The sequence below is a fragment of the Homo sapiens genome, chromosome 9, assembly GCF_000001405.40.
Source record: "Homo sapiens chromosome 9, GRCh38.p14 Primary Assembly".
Lineage (NCBI taxonomy): Eukaryota > Metazoa > Chordata > Mammalia > Primates > Hominidae > Homo > Homo sapiens.
The window spans coordinates 76,833,233-76,850,699 of NC_000009.12; the positions used below are offsets into that span (position 1 = coordinate 76,833,233).

Genomic DNA, 17,467 nt, shown 5'->3' on the forward strand with positions numbered 1-17,467 from the left:
AGGATATTGCATAGCCACCAAGTAGGGCTCCCCCAAGAATCAAAGTACAAATTAACATTCAAAAAGCAATCAGTTATAATTGATCATATTAATAAAGAGGAAAAATCCTATGATCACCTAGATAGACAGATATCAAGTAGTAAAACTACTTCAGAAAATCCCAAAGTTAATCATTATGTGAAATCTTAGTCAAGTAGAAATAGAAGACAACTTCCTTATTTGATGAATGGCATTTATAAAAACCAAATACAGGCCGGGCGTGGTGGCTCATGCCTGTAATCCCCGCACTTTGGGAGGCTGAGGTGGGCGGATCACGAAGTCAGGAGATCGAGACCATCCTGGCTAACACGGTGAAACCCCGTCTCTACTTAAAATACAAAAAGTTAGCCGGGCCTGGTGGCAGGCGCCTCTAGTCCCAGCTACTTGGGAGGCTGAGGCAGGAGAATGGGGTGAACCCGGGAGGCGGAGCTTGCAGTGAGCCGAGATTGCGCCACTGCACTCCAGCCTGGGCGACAGAGCAAGACTCCATAAAAAAAAATAAATAAATAAAAAATTTAAAAAAAAATACAGAAAGCAGACGTCACAGTTAATTGTGGAATACTGAAAGACTTCCACTTCAAATCAGGAATGAGACCAAGATGCCGGGTTTTTTTGTTTTTTTTTTTTTAAGATGGAGTCTTGCTTGGTCGCCCAGGCCGGAGTGCAGTGGCTGCAATCTTGGCTCACTGCAACTTCCGCCTCCCAAGTTCAAGCGATTCTCCTGCCTCAGCCTCCCGAGTAGCTAGGATTACAGGCATGTGCCACCACACCTGGCTAATTTTTGTATTTTTAGGAGAGACGGGGTTTCACCATGTTGGCCAGTCTGGTCTCAAACCCCTGACCTCAGGTGATCCGCCCACCTCAGCCTCCCAAGGTGCTGGGATAACAGGTGTGAGCCACCGTGCCCGGCCCCAAGATGCCTATTATTCTTATTCTTACTCAACACCACACTGAATCCTAACCAGAGTGCAATAAGGCAAGCAAAAGAAGTAGAAAGTATAAATAAAGGAAAATAAAGAATAAACACTGTCTTTCCTCATAGATGACACAATTATGTGTGCAAAAAAAGCTCAAAGAATCTACAAATGAACTCAGGATAGTCAGTAAATTTAGCAAGTTTGCTGCATTAAGGTCAATAATACAAAATTACCTGTATTTCCATAAATAATCACAATTAAAAATCAAAAATTTAGAAATGCAATAGAATCAAAATATTAAATACTTAATGTGCCCTGGCTTACAGTCAAACCAAGAATCCAGTTTCTTTGATTTGGGGATCTTATTTTTTAAAGACATAAAATGGAAAGGCAGTATTAAGAAATTAACCTAACAGATATTACATTAAACAGAGACCTATGGAATAATTTAGTGAAAACAGACATCTGATATTGGCTTATAGTTAAGTTTGATATGACTATTACAAAGGAGATGATATACTGATAAAAGTATGAAAACTAACTCAGAAAAATGCTCATGATACTCTGAGCTATTTTGACTGCACAAAAACAGCTACAGCCCAACTTTATCCCAGGAACTCATCTTTGGCAAATTTTTCTACCTTACATTAGAAACCCATTTAGTTACAAACTTATTTTTCTGTATCATGACTTACAGCAGCCAGAGACACCTCTCAGCAAATTGAAACCTATTTTTGTAGCAAGCACTGACCTAACTTACAGCAAATTTTGCAGAATGAAAGAAATACTGAAATCCATAAGGACGTACCCCAAAGTATCTTAGCTATTCATAGGCAGGGTAGAGGGAAGGAGCGATTAACAGCAAGCAACAAAGAAAGCAATTATGAGGAAATAGTAACAAACACTTCATTCCATTAGAAAAGAAAGCAAACACAATATTCTTTGCTCAAAAGAATGGAGAAGTGAAGGACCTCTTGCCAAAAGCAATTGCAGTGCATTAATATTAAATATGATCTAATGAAGTCAGAAATTGTTTGGGGAAAACATTCAACACAGTAAAGGCGTATTCTGCATGACAAATTCTTAACAGAAAAGAAGGGTCTTAAATCTTTTTTTCTTTTACATAGGATTGATTTTTTTCATATTGAAAAAAAAGTAAGGAATGAATAACAGAGAGAAAGAGGGAGGAGGAAAATGGAAGGAGGAAAAAGAAATACAACTTAGTTTACGTTTTTGTCTGAAGAGGTATAAAAAGAAGCCTCTTTTTATACTGCCTACTATTTTATTAACTGCCTACTATTTTCATAACTTTAAAATGTCTGAATTTAAGAATAAAGATTATCTTTGTGTGACAGAAGAAATAGTGAACACTCTGAGGTTGAGGAATCATTTTGGTTTTATAACTAGCAGAAACAATCACTTCTTCCCCCTACCCCTAGTATCTTCTTCCTAAGTGAAACAGCCCTCCGTCTTCGTAAGCAAAACAGGCAATGTAATTCCCTCTGGATTTTGTAACCATTTCAGGAGAGAGATGATTCACTCTTTGGGCAAGAGAGAGAGAGAGAAAAAAAATATCTGGCTCTGTTCCTTTCCTATTTGACCTCCTTAAAAGGATCTTTTTGAAGCTGTTAATCCAGGCTACTAAAATAGCAAGCAACTATTCTTTATTAAAGGTCAAATGAAACTACCAATAGGAAGGAGAGAGTTTGTTTAAATTTTAAAAACCTGGGATATTAGTTTTTCACTTAGTCCTAGGCTAAGAACAGTCGCTTTTCTTTCTCTCTTTGTCTTGTGGCTCCTGTCAAGGCCTTACACAAATAAAAGTGAAAGGCCATTTGGGTAAAGTGTGGTCTTGATCTAAGCATGCCTGGTAATCAGTGGCTGAAACCTCATTGCCAGCTGGTTCCCAGAAACACACACGCACACAAATACAAATGTGCACGCATACAATCCCCAATGTGATGATTCAGCAATTTAATGGATCTTAAATTTGGCAGTAGTCCTCTAGCACACATCTCTGGAGAAATAAACGAATACAGGTGAGGACTCTGGCGGGTCTGTAACTGTTCACTTTTGGCACAAACCCAGGGCATAACTAAGCACCAACTTTAGCCACCATGACTGTATGATGTGACTTTATGGAACATTCATGCCTTGGAAAATGAACACAAAAAAATCTTAGAATCAGATAGGGGGAGGGAGAAGCCCAAGAACAGGAGAAGGAGAAAAGAGAGAAGAGAAAGAAAGCAAAGAAACAAAGAAGAACCTCAGCAAAAATAGGTGGGCAAGGAAGGGGAGAAGCTAAAAGATTTTCTTTCCAAAACTCAGGGCCATTTATGATCTCATCTTTATGAGCACGTTCCCTTCTTACACAAATAATTAGAAAGTAATGCTACATAAGTACGTGCCTTTCCAAATGAAAGTGGATACTAATGATTTGTTTCCTGAAATTTCTAAGTTTGGGGGTATATCCTACTAAAAGGCAACAGCAAGACCTAGCTATTGTAAGAAGTATTAATTTTGAAAAGTGCAAATTATTTCTATTTTGTTAAATCCCCCACAAAGCCTGAACACATTTTGGTCATAGATGAGTCACCTGTTGACATTTATCCATGACTGTCCTGCTAGGGCCCAAAGCAGAGTGACGGGGGACATTATTAGAAAAACACAAGCACGTTATTTCTATGCTGGCAACATGACACATACCTCTAATTAGTATACAAATGATCTTTTTAACGACATCCGTAATAATCAAGTTCTACCTCAATGTTTGAATAAAATAATATACCATAATGCAAACATTGATATGTAGCTACAGCTGTGTATAAGACTAAAAAGATTCAAATATGATTGAATTTAAATATGTATTTTTTAGATTTAGAGAAAAACATCAGCATGCATAGAAAAGAAATTTGGAGCAGAAAATGAGGTTGCTAGACTAAAGGTAAAGCTGATTAAAAAAATGAAGTTATTGGCCGGGCACAGTGGCTCTCTGCTGTAATCCCAGAACTTTGGGAGGCCAAGGCGGGCGGATCACAAGGTGAAGCGATTGAGACCATCCTGGCCAACATGGTGAAACCCCGTCTCTACTAAAAATACAAAAATTAGCCAGGCGTGGTGGCGGGCACCTGCAGTCCCAACTACTCGGGAGGCTGAGGCAGGAGAATTGCTTGAACCCGGGAGGCAGAGATTGCAGTGAGCCAAGATTGTGCCATTGCACTCCGGCCTGGCGACACAGTGAGACTCTGTCTCAAATAATAATAATAATAATAATAATAATAATAATAATGCTATTAAAGCAATCCCATACACTGATTGAGGAGCAGGAAGTATCTGACATGCTGTGCACAATTCCTGTATATGCCCCCACTGCATGTGGAAAAGGATAGAGCAGGGGTATTTCTATGGCATTATCAGGTGTCTTTTCAAGACTGATACAAAAAAAAATTTAGACTTAGTTGTATCTTTTTAAAATGAGAAACTAGTATATGTGTTTATTTCAGTAAAAATGATTATAATTAATCATATTTTAATTTTTTCATTGGCTCCAGGAAGCTCGTATCCAAAGTTTCAAACCAAATACTATTTTTTTTTTTTTTTTGAGACGGAGTCTTGCTCTGTCGCCCAGGCTGGAGTGCAGTGGCGCAATCTCGGCTCACTGCAAGCTCTGCCTCCTGGGTTCACGCCATTCTCCTGCCTCAGCCTCCTGAGTAGCTGGGACTACAGGCGCCTGCCACCACGCCCAGCTAATTTTTTGTATTTTTAGTAGAGACGGGGTTTCACCGTGTTAGCCAGGATGGTCTCGATCTCCTGACCTCGTGATCTGCCCGCCTCAGCCTCCCAAAATGCTGGGATTACAGGTGTGAGCCACTGTGCCCAGCCACCAAATACTATTTTTATTCCTCCAAATTTATAATTGTATCTGATCCTATTCCTTTCTGTACTAGTTTTTATTTTTCCTGATCTTGACCTTTTTTTTTCTCTTTTATTATACTGCATGCATTTTTGTAAGCCTCCTCAAATATTTTATGGAAGAAGGAAGGGCAAACATAATAAAATAGATAGATAAACCTAGACAAGTAGATTCTCCATTTAATACAAAGGTAGAGATCTAAAAACAATGAGTAATATATACTGTATGATGCCATTTATATATCATACAAATGCAGGCAGAGGCTGGGCATGGTGGCTCATGTCTGTAATCCCAACACTTTGGGGGGCCGAGGCAGGTGGATCACTTGAGGCCAGGAGTTCAAGACCAGCCTGACCAATATGGCAAAACCCCATCTCTACTAAAAACACAAAAATTAGTGGGGCATGGTGGCAGATGCCTGTAATCCCAGCCACTTGGGAGGCTGAGGCAGGAGAATTGCTTGAACCTAGAAGGCGGAGGTTGCAGTGAGCTGAGATTGCGCCATTGCACTCCAGCCTGGGCAACAAGAGCGAAACTCTGTCTCAAAAAAAAAAAAAAAAAAAAAAAACAAATACAGCCAGAACCCATCTGTACTGCTATGGGGTACACACAGTGATGTTAAAACTATAAAGAAAAGCAAAGAAGAGTATACCACAAAAATGGGAATACCAGTTAACGCTAGTTAGGGAGGGAGTGAGCAGTGGTGGGAAGGAGCACCAAAAGGTCTTTCTCTTTACCTGGATAATTGTTAAAAGGGTGCTCGCTTTGTGATAATTCCTTGAACTGTTTACATGTCCTTTTATACACATGTTTTGCATTCTTTTTGGTGCAAAGTATTATACTCCACAAGAGGGCTAAAATACATTTATTTATTTACTTATTTATTTATATAACCAAATGGTGAAAATAAAAAGAAATGCTTGCAAAACACTAGGATTTCTTAAAGCTAAAAATAGGAGTTTGTTTGTTTTTTTTTAAACTAGAAGGAACAACGTCCAAATTTTACACATTAAGAATGTTAGAAGGATGGACTGAAGGGGACGGAAATTAAAGTATTATAGCATTAACTGAATCAATACAGTCATAAAAATAGAGAGCACATAAACAATGTTGCAAAATTCCTTTTATGACAGTGTTTATCGAGGGCCTACTCTGTGCCAGGTACTGTTCTAGGTACCAGAGACACAACAGTGAAGCAGTGCACACAACACAGAAAGTCTCTTTTCTCATGAAGTTACATCCTGGAGTGAGGAAGCAAGAGGGAAGAGGAGGCTCCTGATAGGCAGAAAGAGAGATGACGAGATACTATAGATGAAACAAGCATTCCAGAAGGAGGGAACGGCTTATGTAAATCATCAAGAGTGGAAAGAGTTTGGCATATTTGAAAAGCTGAAAGGCTCTTGTGTCTGCAACACAGTGGGAAAAGGGGGAAATCTTACCAAGGGATGTGAGAATAGGCAGAGGAGAGATGACGTGGTGGTCTCTAGGGGTAGAGGTAGGATGCTTGGATTTTGAGTGAGACAGGTTTGAAGCCGGAGGTTGAAATGGCCTGACTTACAATTTACAAGGTCATTCTGAAGACTTCATGGCAATAGGTTTTATGGAGGAGATAGGGCAACAGTCAGGCAGCTAAGACAGTAGTCAAAGAGAGGCAGAATGGAGGCTTGAACTGAGTCACTAGCAGTGATCATGGAAAATGTAGAGGGAGTCATGTTATGTTCTAGATGGAGGGTCAGCAGGACTGCTGATGGATTTGCAGAAGGCAAAGGAAAGAATCATGTATAACTCCTAGATGATGGCTTTTAAGCAATTGGGTGGTTTACTGAAATGAAGAAATTGGAATAAAAGCAGGTTTGGAGGTACAAGAAACTAAAAGGTTCTACTGCAGCCGTGTTAAGGATGTGGTACTAATTAGACAAGCATGTGAAGATGTAACGTGGGCTTGGATATAAATCTGGAATTCTAAAAAGAGGTCACAGTTGGAGATACAGGCAGTCATCAGCCTGTGTATAATATTTAAAGTCTTGGAACTAAACAAAGTCACTTAAAGATAGCAAAAAAAGAGAAAAAGGACAAGTTTTAGGCACCCAACACTTAGCAACTGAGCAGAGGAAAAGGAGCTAACAAGTAAGATGAAGGAAGAGTAGGCCCAACTTTTTGCATATCAAGGAACACATTGAAAGTGACCTTTTTTTACTTTTGAGCACAGTGGGCTCAGAGCCATACACAGGGCCTTCTCCAAGAACCAAAGGAATCAATATCTTGGCCCACCTGAAATCCATTTACAGCACACCAGCATGCCCAAGCATGATGCATTCTAGGATACAGCCACGGGGATGAAAAGCAAAGTACAATCAAATTGATGAAGTACTTAGCTCATAGAAAATGTAGAGTTTTTTGGTACAATGTTTATACTAATATATTGTCCACTGAGGTCTAATTATGATGCTTTTAAAGACTCTTTCAAGTCTCAGCCATAAATATCTAGTCTCATGACATCTGGAAACAGACATTTGCTAACATTTCTTATGGCAAAGATGTGCATAAAATATCGGCATTCTTTCAAGACCTAGAAGAATACATAAAAATTTGTTCTAGGCTGGGAGTGGTGGCTCAGGCCTGTAATCCCAGCACTTTGGGAGGCTGAGGCGGGCAGATCACCTGAGGTCAGGAGTTCAAGACCAGCCTGGCCAACATGGCGAAACCCAGTCTCTGCTAAAAACACAAAAATTAGCCGGGCTTTGTGGCAGGCACCTGTAATCCCAGCTACTTGAGAGGCTGACGCAGGAGAATCGCTTGAACCCGAGAGGCGGAGGTTGCAGTGAGCCAAGATTGCGCCACTGCACTCCAACCTGGGCAACAAGCGCGAGACTTCCTCTCAAAAAAAAAAAAAAGATTGTCCCTAGGTGGCTGGCAAGATGATCAAATAGGAACAGCTCCGGTCTGCAGCTCCCAACAAGATCAATGCAGAAGGGGGGTGATGTCTGCATTTCCAACTGAGGTACCTGGCTCATCTCATTGGGACTGGTTAGACATTGGGACTGGTCAGCCCAGCCATGGAGGGTGAGCCAAAGCAGGGTGGGGTATCGCCTCACCCAGGAAGCACAAGGGGTCGGGGAACTCCCTCCCCTAGCCAAGGGAAGCCATGAGGGACCATGCCATGAGGAACGGGGCATTCCAGCCCAAATACTATGCTTTTGCCATGTTCTTTGCAACTCACAGACCAGGAGATTCCCTTGGATGCCTACACCACCAAGGCCCTGGGTTTCAAGTGCAAAACTGAGTGGCCATTTGGGCAGACACTGAGCTAGCTGAAGGAGTTTTGTTTTCATACCCCAGTGGCGCCTGGAACGCCAGTGAGACAGAACTGTTCACTCCCCTGGAAAGGGGGCTGAAGCCAAGAAGCCAAGTGGTCTAGCTCAGTGGATCCCACCCCATGGAGCCCAGCAAGCTAAGATCCACTGGCTTGAAATTCTCGCTGCCAGCACAGCAGTCTGAAGTCAACCTGGGATGCTTGAGTCCGCCATTACTGAGGCTTGAGTAGGTGGTTTTCCCCTCATAGTGTAAACAAAGCTGCAGGGAAGTTCAGACTGGGCAGAGCCCACCACAGCACTGCAAAGCCGCTGTAGCCAGACTACCTCTCTAGATTCCTCCTCTCTGCACAGGGCATCTCTCAAAGAAAGGCAGCAACCCCAGTCAGGGGCTTATAGATAAAATTCCCATCTCCCTGGGACAGAGCACTTGGGGGAAGGGGCGGCTGTGGGAGCAGCTTCAGCAGATTTAAACGTTCCTGCCTGCTGGCTCTATCCCCATTGAATCTGCTATCCCTATTGAATCCCCACCTGAGAAGAAAGCTACCACTGACTTTCTTCACAAAATTCAAAAAAACTACTTTAAATTTCATATGGAACCAAAAAAGAACCCGTATAGCCAAGACAATCCTAAGCAAAAAGAACAAAATGGAGGTATCACGCTACCTGACTTCAAACTATACTACAAGGCTACAGTAACCAAACAGCCTGGTACTGGTACCAAAACAGACATAGACCAATGGAACAGAACAGAGCCCTCAGAAATAATGCCACACATCTACAACCATCTGATTTTTGACAAACCTGACAAAAACAAGCAATGGGGAAAGGATTCCCTATTTAATAAATGGTGTTGGGAAAACTGGCTAGCCATATGCAGAAAACTGAAACTGGACCCTTTCCTTACACCTTACAAAAATTAACTCAAGATGGATTAAAGACTTAAACATAAGACCTAAAACCATAATAACCCTAGAAGAAAACCTAGGCAATATCATTCAGGACACAGGCATGGGCAAAGACTTTATGACTAAAAAACCAAAAGCAATGGCAACAAAAGCCAAAATTGACAAATAAGATCTAATTAAAGAGCTTCTGCACAGCAAAAGAAACTATCATCAGAATGAACAGGCAACCTACAGAGTGGGAGAAAAATTTTGCAATCTATCCACCTGACAAAGGGCTAATATCCAGAATCTACAAGGAACTTAAACAAATTTACAAGAATAAAACAAACAACCCCAACAAAAACTAGGCAAAGGATATGAAGAGACACTTCTCAAAAGAAGTGGCCAACAAACATATGGAAAAAAAGCTCATCATCACTCATCATTAGAGAAATGCAAATCAAAACCACAATGAGATATCATCTCATGCCAGTTAGAATGGCAATCATTAAAAAGCCAGGTAACAACAGATGCTGGAGGGGATGTGGAGAAATAGGAACACTTTTACACTGTTGGTGGGAGTGTAAATTAGTTCCAGCATTGTGGAAGACAGTGTGGCGATTCCTCAGGGATCTAGAACAAGAAATACCATTTGATCCAGCAATCCCATTACTGGATATATACCCAAAGGATTATAAATCATTCTATCATAAAGACACATGCACACATACACTTATTGCCGCACTATTCACAAAGACTTGGAACCAACCCAAATGCCCATCAATGATAGACTGGATAAAGAAAATGTGGCACATATACACCATGGAATACTATGCAGCCAAAAAAATAAAGGATGAGCTCATGTCCTTTGCAGGGACACTGATGAGGCTGGAAACCACCATTTCTCAGCAAACTAACACGGGAACAGAAAACCAAACACCACATGTTCTCACTCATAAGTGGGAGCTGAACAATGAGAACACATGGACACAGGGTGGGGAATATCACACACCGGGGCCTGTTGGGGATGGGGGCTAGGGGAGGGAGAGCATTAGGAGAAATACCTAATGTAGGTGATGGATTGATGGGTGCAGCAAACCACCATGGCACGTGTATACCTATGTAACAAACCTGCATGTTCTGCACATGTATCCCAGAACTTAAGGTATAATTTTAAAAAAGTTCTAAAAATGTGCATCAAAGTGATGATTATTTACAGCACCCAAAAATCCAAAGTAACATGGTAGCTGCTTATAAAGAGAACCCTTTCTAAAGAGAACTGCCCATATTATGAAAATAATGCTAAAGTTATTTTATAGGAACAGAGAAAACAAGTCCTTTTAGGTTTGATGTTACTACATAACTGGAAAACCATAAATTCTAAGTTTGAATTCAGTGATGACAGCAAAATTTGACTTGATTCCTCTTTTTTTTTTTTTTTTTTTTGAGATGGAGTTTCACCCTTGTGCCTCAGGCTGGAGTGCAATGGTGAGATCTCGGCTCACTGCAACCTTCGCTTCCTGGGTTCAAGCAATTCTCCCGCCTCAGCCTCCCAAGTAGCTGGGATTACAGGCGTCCGCCACCACACCGGCTAATTTTTGTATTTTTAGTAGAGACGAGGTTTCACCATGTTGGCCAGGCTGGTCTCAAACTCCTGACCTTAAGTGATCTGCCCTCCTCAGCCTCCCAAAGTGCTAGGATTACAGGCGTGAGCCACCACGCCCAGCCTACTTGATTTCTTTTTTGTATTTACTAACAATTCAGGAGCTTTTAAAAATTGACCTATTACTCCAACATAGTTTTTACCTCTGAACATTTGAGGTACCTCTTTAAAAGGCAGATTCCCTATTTAACCATCCTTTAGTTCCGTGATATGGTTTGGATGTGTGTCCCCTCCAAATCTCATGTTGAAATGTGATCTCCAATGTTGGAGGTGGGGCCTGGTGAGAGGTGTTTGAGTCAGGGGGGCCAATCCCTCATGAATGGCTTGGTACCCTCCCTGTAGTAATGAGTTCACCTGAGATCTGGTTGTTAAAAAAGGTCTGGGACCTCCCCAGTCTCTTGCTCCCTCCCTTCCCATGTCATATGCCAGCTCCTCCTTTGCTTCCTGCCATGCATGGAAGTTTCCTGAGGTCCTCACTAGAAGCAGATGCCAGCACTATGCTTTTCCTACAGCCTACAGAAGCATGAGTGAAATAAACCTCTTTCTAAATTACCCGATCTCAGATATTCCTTTACAGCAACACAAAACAGACTAATATAGTCCTTCTTGCCAAAGCTATTTAGAGAGTGTTCCATCTCCCCTCCACATACATACACACACATATGCATTGGCAAAAGGTCTCCAGAGCCCTCTTTCCACCATAAGAAGCCCCCTATGTCTTCTACCTCCCAGGGTTTAATGACTCTGGCTCTTTTATGACAGTAACAGTATTGGCAGGCTTCACAGGTAGAAGCTCTTCATCCTCTCACATTCCAGTTTCCAAGAGATAAGGAAGTGATGCCCACATTCTGCCAGCTTCCCAATGCCACTTCAAGCCTAACCTCAAGAAAAACATCTGATGTTAAGAAAAGCAAAATCCAGCCAGGTGCAGTAGCTCGCACCTTTAATTACAGCACTTTGGGAGACTGAAGCCGGTGGATGGCTTGAGCCCAGGAGTTCAAGACTAGCCTGGGCAATATGGTGAGACCCCCCTCTCTTAAAAAAAAAAAAAAAAAAAAAAAAAAGCAAAAAAATTTAAAGAGAAAGAAGCAAAATCTTTTACCATTGTTCATTTTTTGGTAGCTCTGCAAACTAAAACCAAGATAATTAACAAAAGGGTCTGCATTCCTTCTAATTCCCTAAATCTGAATATCATTGTTATCACTACCAATAACAGTCATATCTTTGTGCCAATGTATTTGTTTCATATTATTTTACTATTTGTAGAAAATTATGATAATGAGCTGCTTACTGACTACATTTCTTTTCTACTAAATAACGCATGTATTTTCACAACAATTAACCAAACTTCTTAGTTTACAAGATATTTAAACAAAATATTCTCTAGTGCTTGGCTGCACCACACATTTGTGCTGTTGAACAACTTTCCTCTTGGCTGAGATCCCCAATTACCTTCATTTTCCTTCTGCTCTGTCACAAAGATAAATGGTTGTGCTTACTTAGTTTAGTTGAGGGCACAGTTTCCCATAGAGCGTTTTTACCGACATTCATTGCCAGGAAAATATTTAAGGCAGGTTTACGAAGGCCATCAGTTCTAAACCTTTACAAGAATTATACACTTCTTGGACCTTTTCCCCTCCAAACTGTGGAAGAGACAGAGGAATTGAAGGACAGAGTCCTTAAAAGAGTTGAGTCAACATACTTTTGGTCTTCTTTTAGAATTATTTCAATCTGTTCATCACTGTTTTTCACTTTCCTGTGTTAAATACTTTTGAGAAAATTCTCTGTCTACCGTGTTCAAAATGGATTGGTGGTGCGGGGAGGGAAATGCTTTATACAAAAACCAGAACAGTGTCCTCTGTAAGTCAATAATGGAATTTCTGTGGTAATTTTGTGGTTCCAAAGTCGACTGACAATTTCTAGCTTGAAAACCACTCTTTGGAAGCAGGTGGCTCCACTGATCGAGATGAAAGAGAGATTACTAGAGTAACTGATGATGGTGTGTTCAGGACCCCAGGGCTTGAAACAGTTTGAGTGAAGACAGAATATGTTACAAGACAGGGGAGCAAAGGAGGTGACATCTGACTATAAAAGCCCTGACACAGTATCACCAAAATGAAGGGTACGTATTTTGCCATCCAAACAGTATGGTATAAACCAAGCATGGAAGAGTATCAGCAGATATTTCAACCTGGGAACTTGGCATTCTCGTCCCTATCATGCTGTCTTGGGGCAAGAATCACCTCTGGTAGTGATTAAAATTGCCAGAGGTGCTATTCCAGCTCCCTAACAGAGGTGCAGCAGTTCCATTTAATATTCTTGTCTAGTGAAACAGCAAAGGCCCCTCATGCCTATTTTTAAATGCACATTTTTAATATTCAGTATAATGCTACTCTTTAACAAACTCTTTACTCCCTGCCTCTCTGATGAAGCTTCCCGTGGTCTTTAAAGAGATTGTTAACCCAAGAATGGATCGCATTCTTTCTACATGAGCAGGCTGGGAGACACTCCATTAAGCCTTCCAGTATTTAATAGGAAGAGCCATCTCTCACCTCTGAGGCGATGAGCCAGTTGCTCGGTGATGAGCTCAGGAGCCTCTTGGAGAATCTCCTTTAGCACGAGAGAAGAGGAAGACTCTCGGAACTCAACGTTGGCATCGCTCTGCTCAACCGGATTAATGACTTTGACAACTGCTGATTCTAAAGTTTTGTCTTCACTGTAAAGCAAATGGAGGGGAGGAAGAGAAAGGGATATGGCATGTCTTATTACTTTTTGGAATGTTTAAATCTCTGCTCTCACACAAATGGCTTCCTCTCAATGACCAAAAATATGAGGGAACTCACATGACTCAGAAGACGGGAGCCTTATTCTACGTATTTTCACATTTCATTAAAACTATTTACTTTCCCCAAATTCTTAAAATACGTACATACCTTCCCAGCTTTATCCTGTGCTGTGCTCTTGGAAAATAATAGTAACTAACACTATTGGGCTTCCACCACAGGCCGGATACTATTATAAATACTTTAGGTGTATTATCATATTTTATACTAGAAAATAACACTATAAAATGAATTCTACAGGCTGGGCGCGGTGGCTCACAACTGTAATCTCAGCACTTTGGGAGGCCGAAGCAGGCGAATCATGAGGTCAGGAGTTTACGACCAGCCTGGCCAACATGGTGAAACCTCGTCTCTACTAAAAATACAAAAAATTAGCCTGACGTGGTGGCAGCTGCCTGTAATCCCAGCTACCTGGGAGGCTGAGGCAGGAGAATCACTTGAACCATGGAGGCTGAGGTTGCAGTGAGCCAAGACCGTGCCACTGCACTCCAGCCTGGGCAATAGAGCGAGAATCTGTCTCAGGGAAAAAAAAAAAAAAGAGTTCTATAAAATGTATAAAATGCACTAAAAATGACACTAGAAAATGACACTAGAAAAATCCCCATTGTATAAGTTTTTTTTAATACAATTTATACATTGTATAATACTTTTAAAAAGTATTTAAAAAAAAAACTGAGGCACAAAGAGGTTAAGAAATTTGTGCAACGTCACACATTTAGTGAGTAGACTAGCTGGTAGACTAGTGAGTAGACTAGCCAATAACCTGGCTCCAAAGCTTGCAAATCCAGTCACCGTGGTGTAGAGAAAACACTACTGGGCCTATTTTCCTTCCACCATTATTCTTCATACATGAGACAGAGCTGGCTTTTAGCAAAGGCAGGAAGAAAAGTTTGGATCAATCCAACTTTATTCTTTCTGCCTGTCAAAAAATAAGTGAATGGCAATGAAAGAAATAAAGATTTCTATTTATTTTTGAAAAGCATTCTATTTCATAAACAATTCTAGAGCTAGAGTTCACAATCCCAGCCTCAAAATCAGTCTAAATTTTTCCATTTTAATTGGTAACAAAACTATTCCTCAGATTTTGATTGACACACACTCGTTCCACAATTCACATTCCAATTGATTGTATTTATCTGTGTCTCTTTGTATTTGCTGGTTTCAAAAAGTTAATATGGCTGGGCATGGTGGCTCACGCCTGTAATCCCAGCACTTTGGGAGGCTGAGGCAGGCGGGTCACCTGAGGTCAGGAGTTTGAAACCAGCCTGGCCAACACGGTGAAACCCCGTCTCTACTAAAAATACAAAAATTAGCTGGGTGTGGTGGCAGATGCCTGTAATCCTAGCTACTCAGGAGGCCGAGGCAAGAGAATCGCCTGAACCTCGGAGATGGAGGCTGCAGTGAGCTGAGATCGTGCCACTGCACTCCAGCCTGGGTGACAGAGCAAGAATCCATCTCAAAAAAAGAAAAAAGAAATAGTTAACATGTAAATTTAGTCAAGCATATGATTTCCTGAATACCAATAATTGAAGTCAGTCAAATAAACTACCCGGAACTTTTAGCCACGTGTCAATGATTGATAAATATTATTCAAAAAAATTTCATTTGTTTCAAACAGCATGAAGATAAAAGCAGCCACACATGGGCAGGTTATTTTCAAAACTCCTCATAAGTAAATGAATTGCATAATAGATATCACAATACATTCATACCTAAATATGCTTCCTAAAAAGTTAAATACAAAATTATTAAACAGAAAAGGTTTTATTTCATGTATGCTAAGGTCAGTGTCCACTGGTTAAGGTTATCAACAACTTGCAAATTGCCAAACTGTGAAAAACTAACATTTTAAACTACTGAAGTGCTTAGCTGGTGAACCTTCATTCAGTAGCAGTGGAAAGCTTATCAAAAGGACATCTTCATAAAGTCTTTGATGGCAGAGAATTTGTCTTATTCCTCCTTAGGCACCTGTAGATTCTTGCATGAGTTAGCAATGCTTAAGTATTTATTGAAAGAGTCAGAAGATACAAGTTCTAATCCCCACTCTTCTACTAACTACATATGGTTCTTTGTTTTTATTGTTGTTGTTTGTTCTGTTTTGTTTTTTGAGGCAGGGTCTCGCTCTGTCATCTAGGCTGGAGGGCAGTGGTGTAATCACAGCTCAACCATGAGATGACATTGCAGCCTCAACCTCCCAGGCTCAATTGATCCTTTCACCTCAGCCTCCTGAGTAGCTGGGACCACAGGTACATACCACTATGGCCAGCTAATTTCTTTGTATTTTTTGTGGAGACAGGGTCTCACCATGTTTCCCAGGCTGATCTCAAACTCCTGGGCTCAAGTGAACCTCCTGCCTTGGCCTCCCAAAATGCTGGAATTACAGGCATGAGCCACCATGTCAAGCCTGCATGTGGTTCTTTGGACAAGTCGTTTGTGACACTGAGTTTCAAGTTTCTTGTCCGTAAAATAAAAAGTTTGAGCTACATGAATATTCAAAAAAAATCAATCCTTCTCTTGTAGTATAACATGCTATGAATGAATAAATCAATAATCAAATGACCTTCATAGCCCATCTCTATGTATTTTTCCATTTCACTACTGAGATTTCTTTCCTAAGAACCATTCAGTTTTATCCAGTGTTTAATTTCAATTTTTAATACACATGTTTGGCATCAATACATAAGACTATTGTATTGCTATAAGAAAGTGTTTGAAATGGTTCAAAAACTATAATTTTAGGCCAGGTGTGATGGCTCACACCTGTAATCCCAGCACTTTGGGAGGCTGAGGTGGACGGATCACTTGAGGTCAGGAGTTCAAGACCAGCCTGGCCAACATGGTGAAACCCCATCTCTACTAAAACTACAAAAATCAGCCAGGCGTGGTGGTGAGTGCCTGTAATCCTAGCTACTCAGGAGGCTGAGGCAAGAGAATCGCTTGAACCTGGGAGGTGGAGGCTGCAGTGAGCCGAGATGGAGCCAATGCACGCCAGCCTGGGCGAGAGATCGAGACTCTGTCTCAAAAAAACAAAACAAAACAAAACAAAACAAAAAACCCCCTATAATTTGGTCAATTTTATAAGAACTTTACACTTAAAGATTTCATATCTGAAATGCAAAAGTAAAAATGAAGGATTAGCATGACCCAAATTTTGCCATAAGAGAAGAAAAAGATATTCCCTTTTCTCTGCATGTCCTCTGCCTTGCCGTTGTTGTGTTGTTGTTGTTGTTTTGGGATTTTGGGGTTTGTTTGTTGTTTTTTTTGAAACAGTCTCACTCTTTCATCCAGGCTGGAGTGCAGTGGTGCGATCTCGGCTCACTATAACCTCTGCCTCCCGGGTTCAGGCAATTCTCGTGCCTCAGCCTCCAAGTAGCTGGGATTACAGGCATGCACCACCACCCTAGCTCATTTTCGTATTTTTAGTAGAGACAAGGTTTCACCATGTTGGTCAGGCTGGTCTCGAACTCCTGGCCTCAAGTGATCCGCCCACCTTGGCCTCCCAAAGTGCTGGGATTATAGGCGTGAGCCACCATGACCAGCATGTCCTCTGCTTTTAATACATCTGCCTAAACCACAAAAGTCCTGAGTAAAGTGACACTTTGCCCAGTAGAACCTTCATTGAGGGATTAAACCTCAGAGCTTCACAGTGGATCTTACCTCGCCAGCACACTGCTGCCAACAAGTGTTATCGATAACTTCCCTTCATCATTTAGCTGATGCAGGTTAATTTCATCCCGGAATATGTGGAATGATTCGGAAATATTTAGCTCTTCTAAAATAAACCTCGTCTCGGTGAAGTAGTTGAATTCAGTTCTTGGTATGTTCAGCACTGGTAAACACAGAACCCCTGGTGGACTGACCTACCAAGAAAAAAGTTGACTGAATTACTGAAAA

General features: G+C 41.0%; 1 protein-coding gene across 34 annotated transcripts in view; it reads right to left on the reverse strand.

Annotated features, from left to right (window-relative positions):
• PRUNE2 (prune homolog 2 with BCH domain) overlaps positions 1 to 17,467 on the reverse strand; it is a 294,739-nt gene that overhangs the window by 221,857 nt on the left and 55,415 nt on the right. For 33 of the 34 annotated variants that reach the window (XM_047422884.1, XM_017014349.2, NM_015225.3 and 30 more), the window contains 2 exons: positions 17,231 to 17,433; positions 13,283 to 13,446 (listed from right to left, as the gene is read on the reverse strand). In XM_047422884.1, coding sequence (XP_047278840.1) covers positions 13,283 to 13,446; positions 17,231 to 17,433 — 367 coding nt within the window. The remainder of the gene's footprint in view (positions 1 to 13,282; positions 13,447 to 17,230; positions 17,434 to 17,467) is intronic. The other variant, NR_131751.2, reaches the window with a different exon arrangement.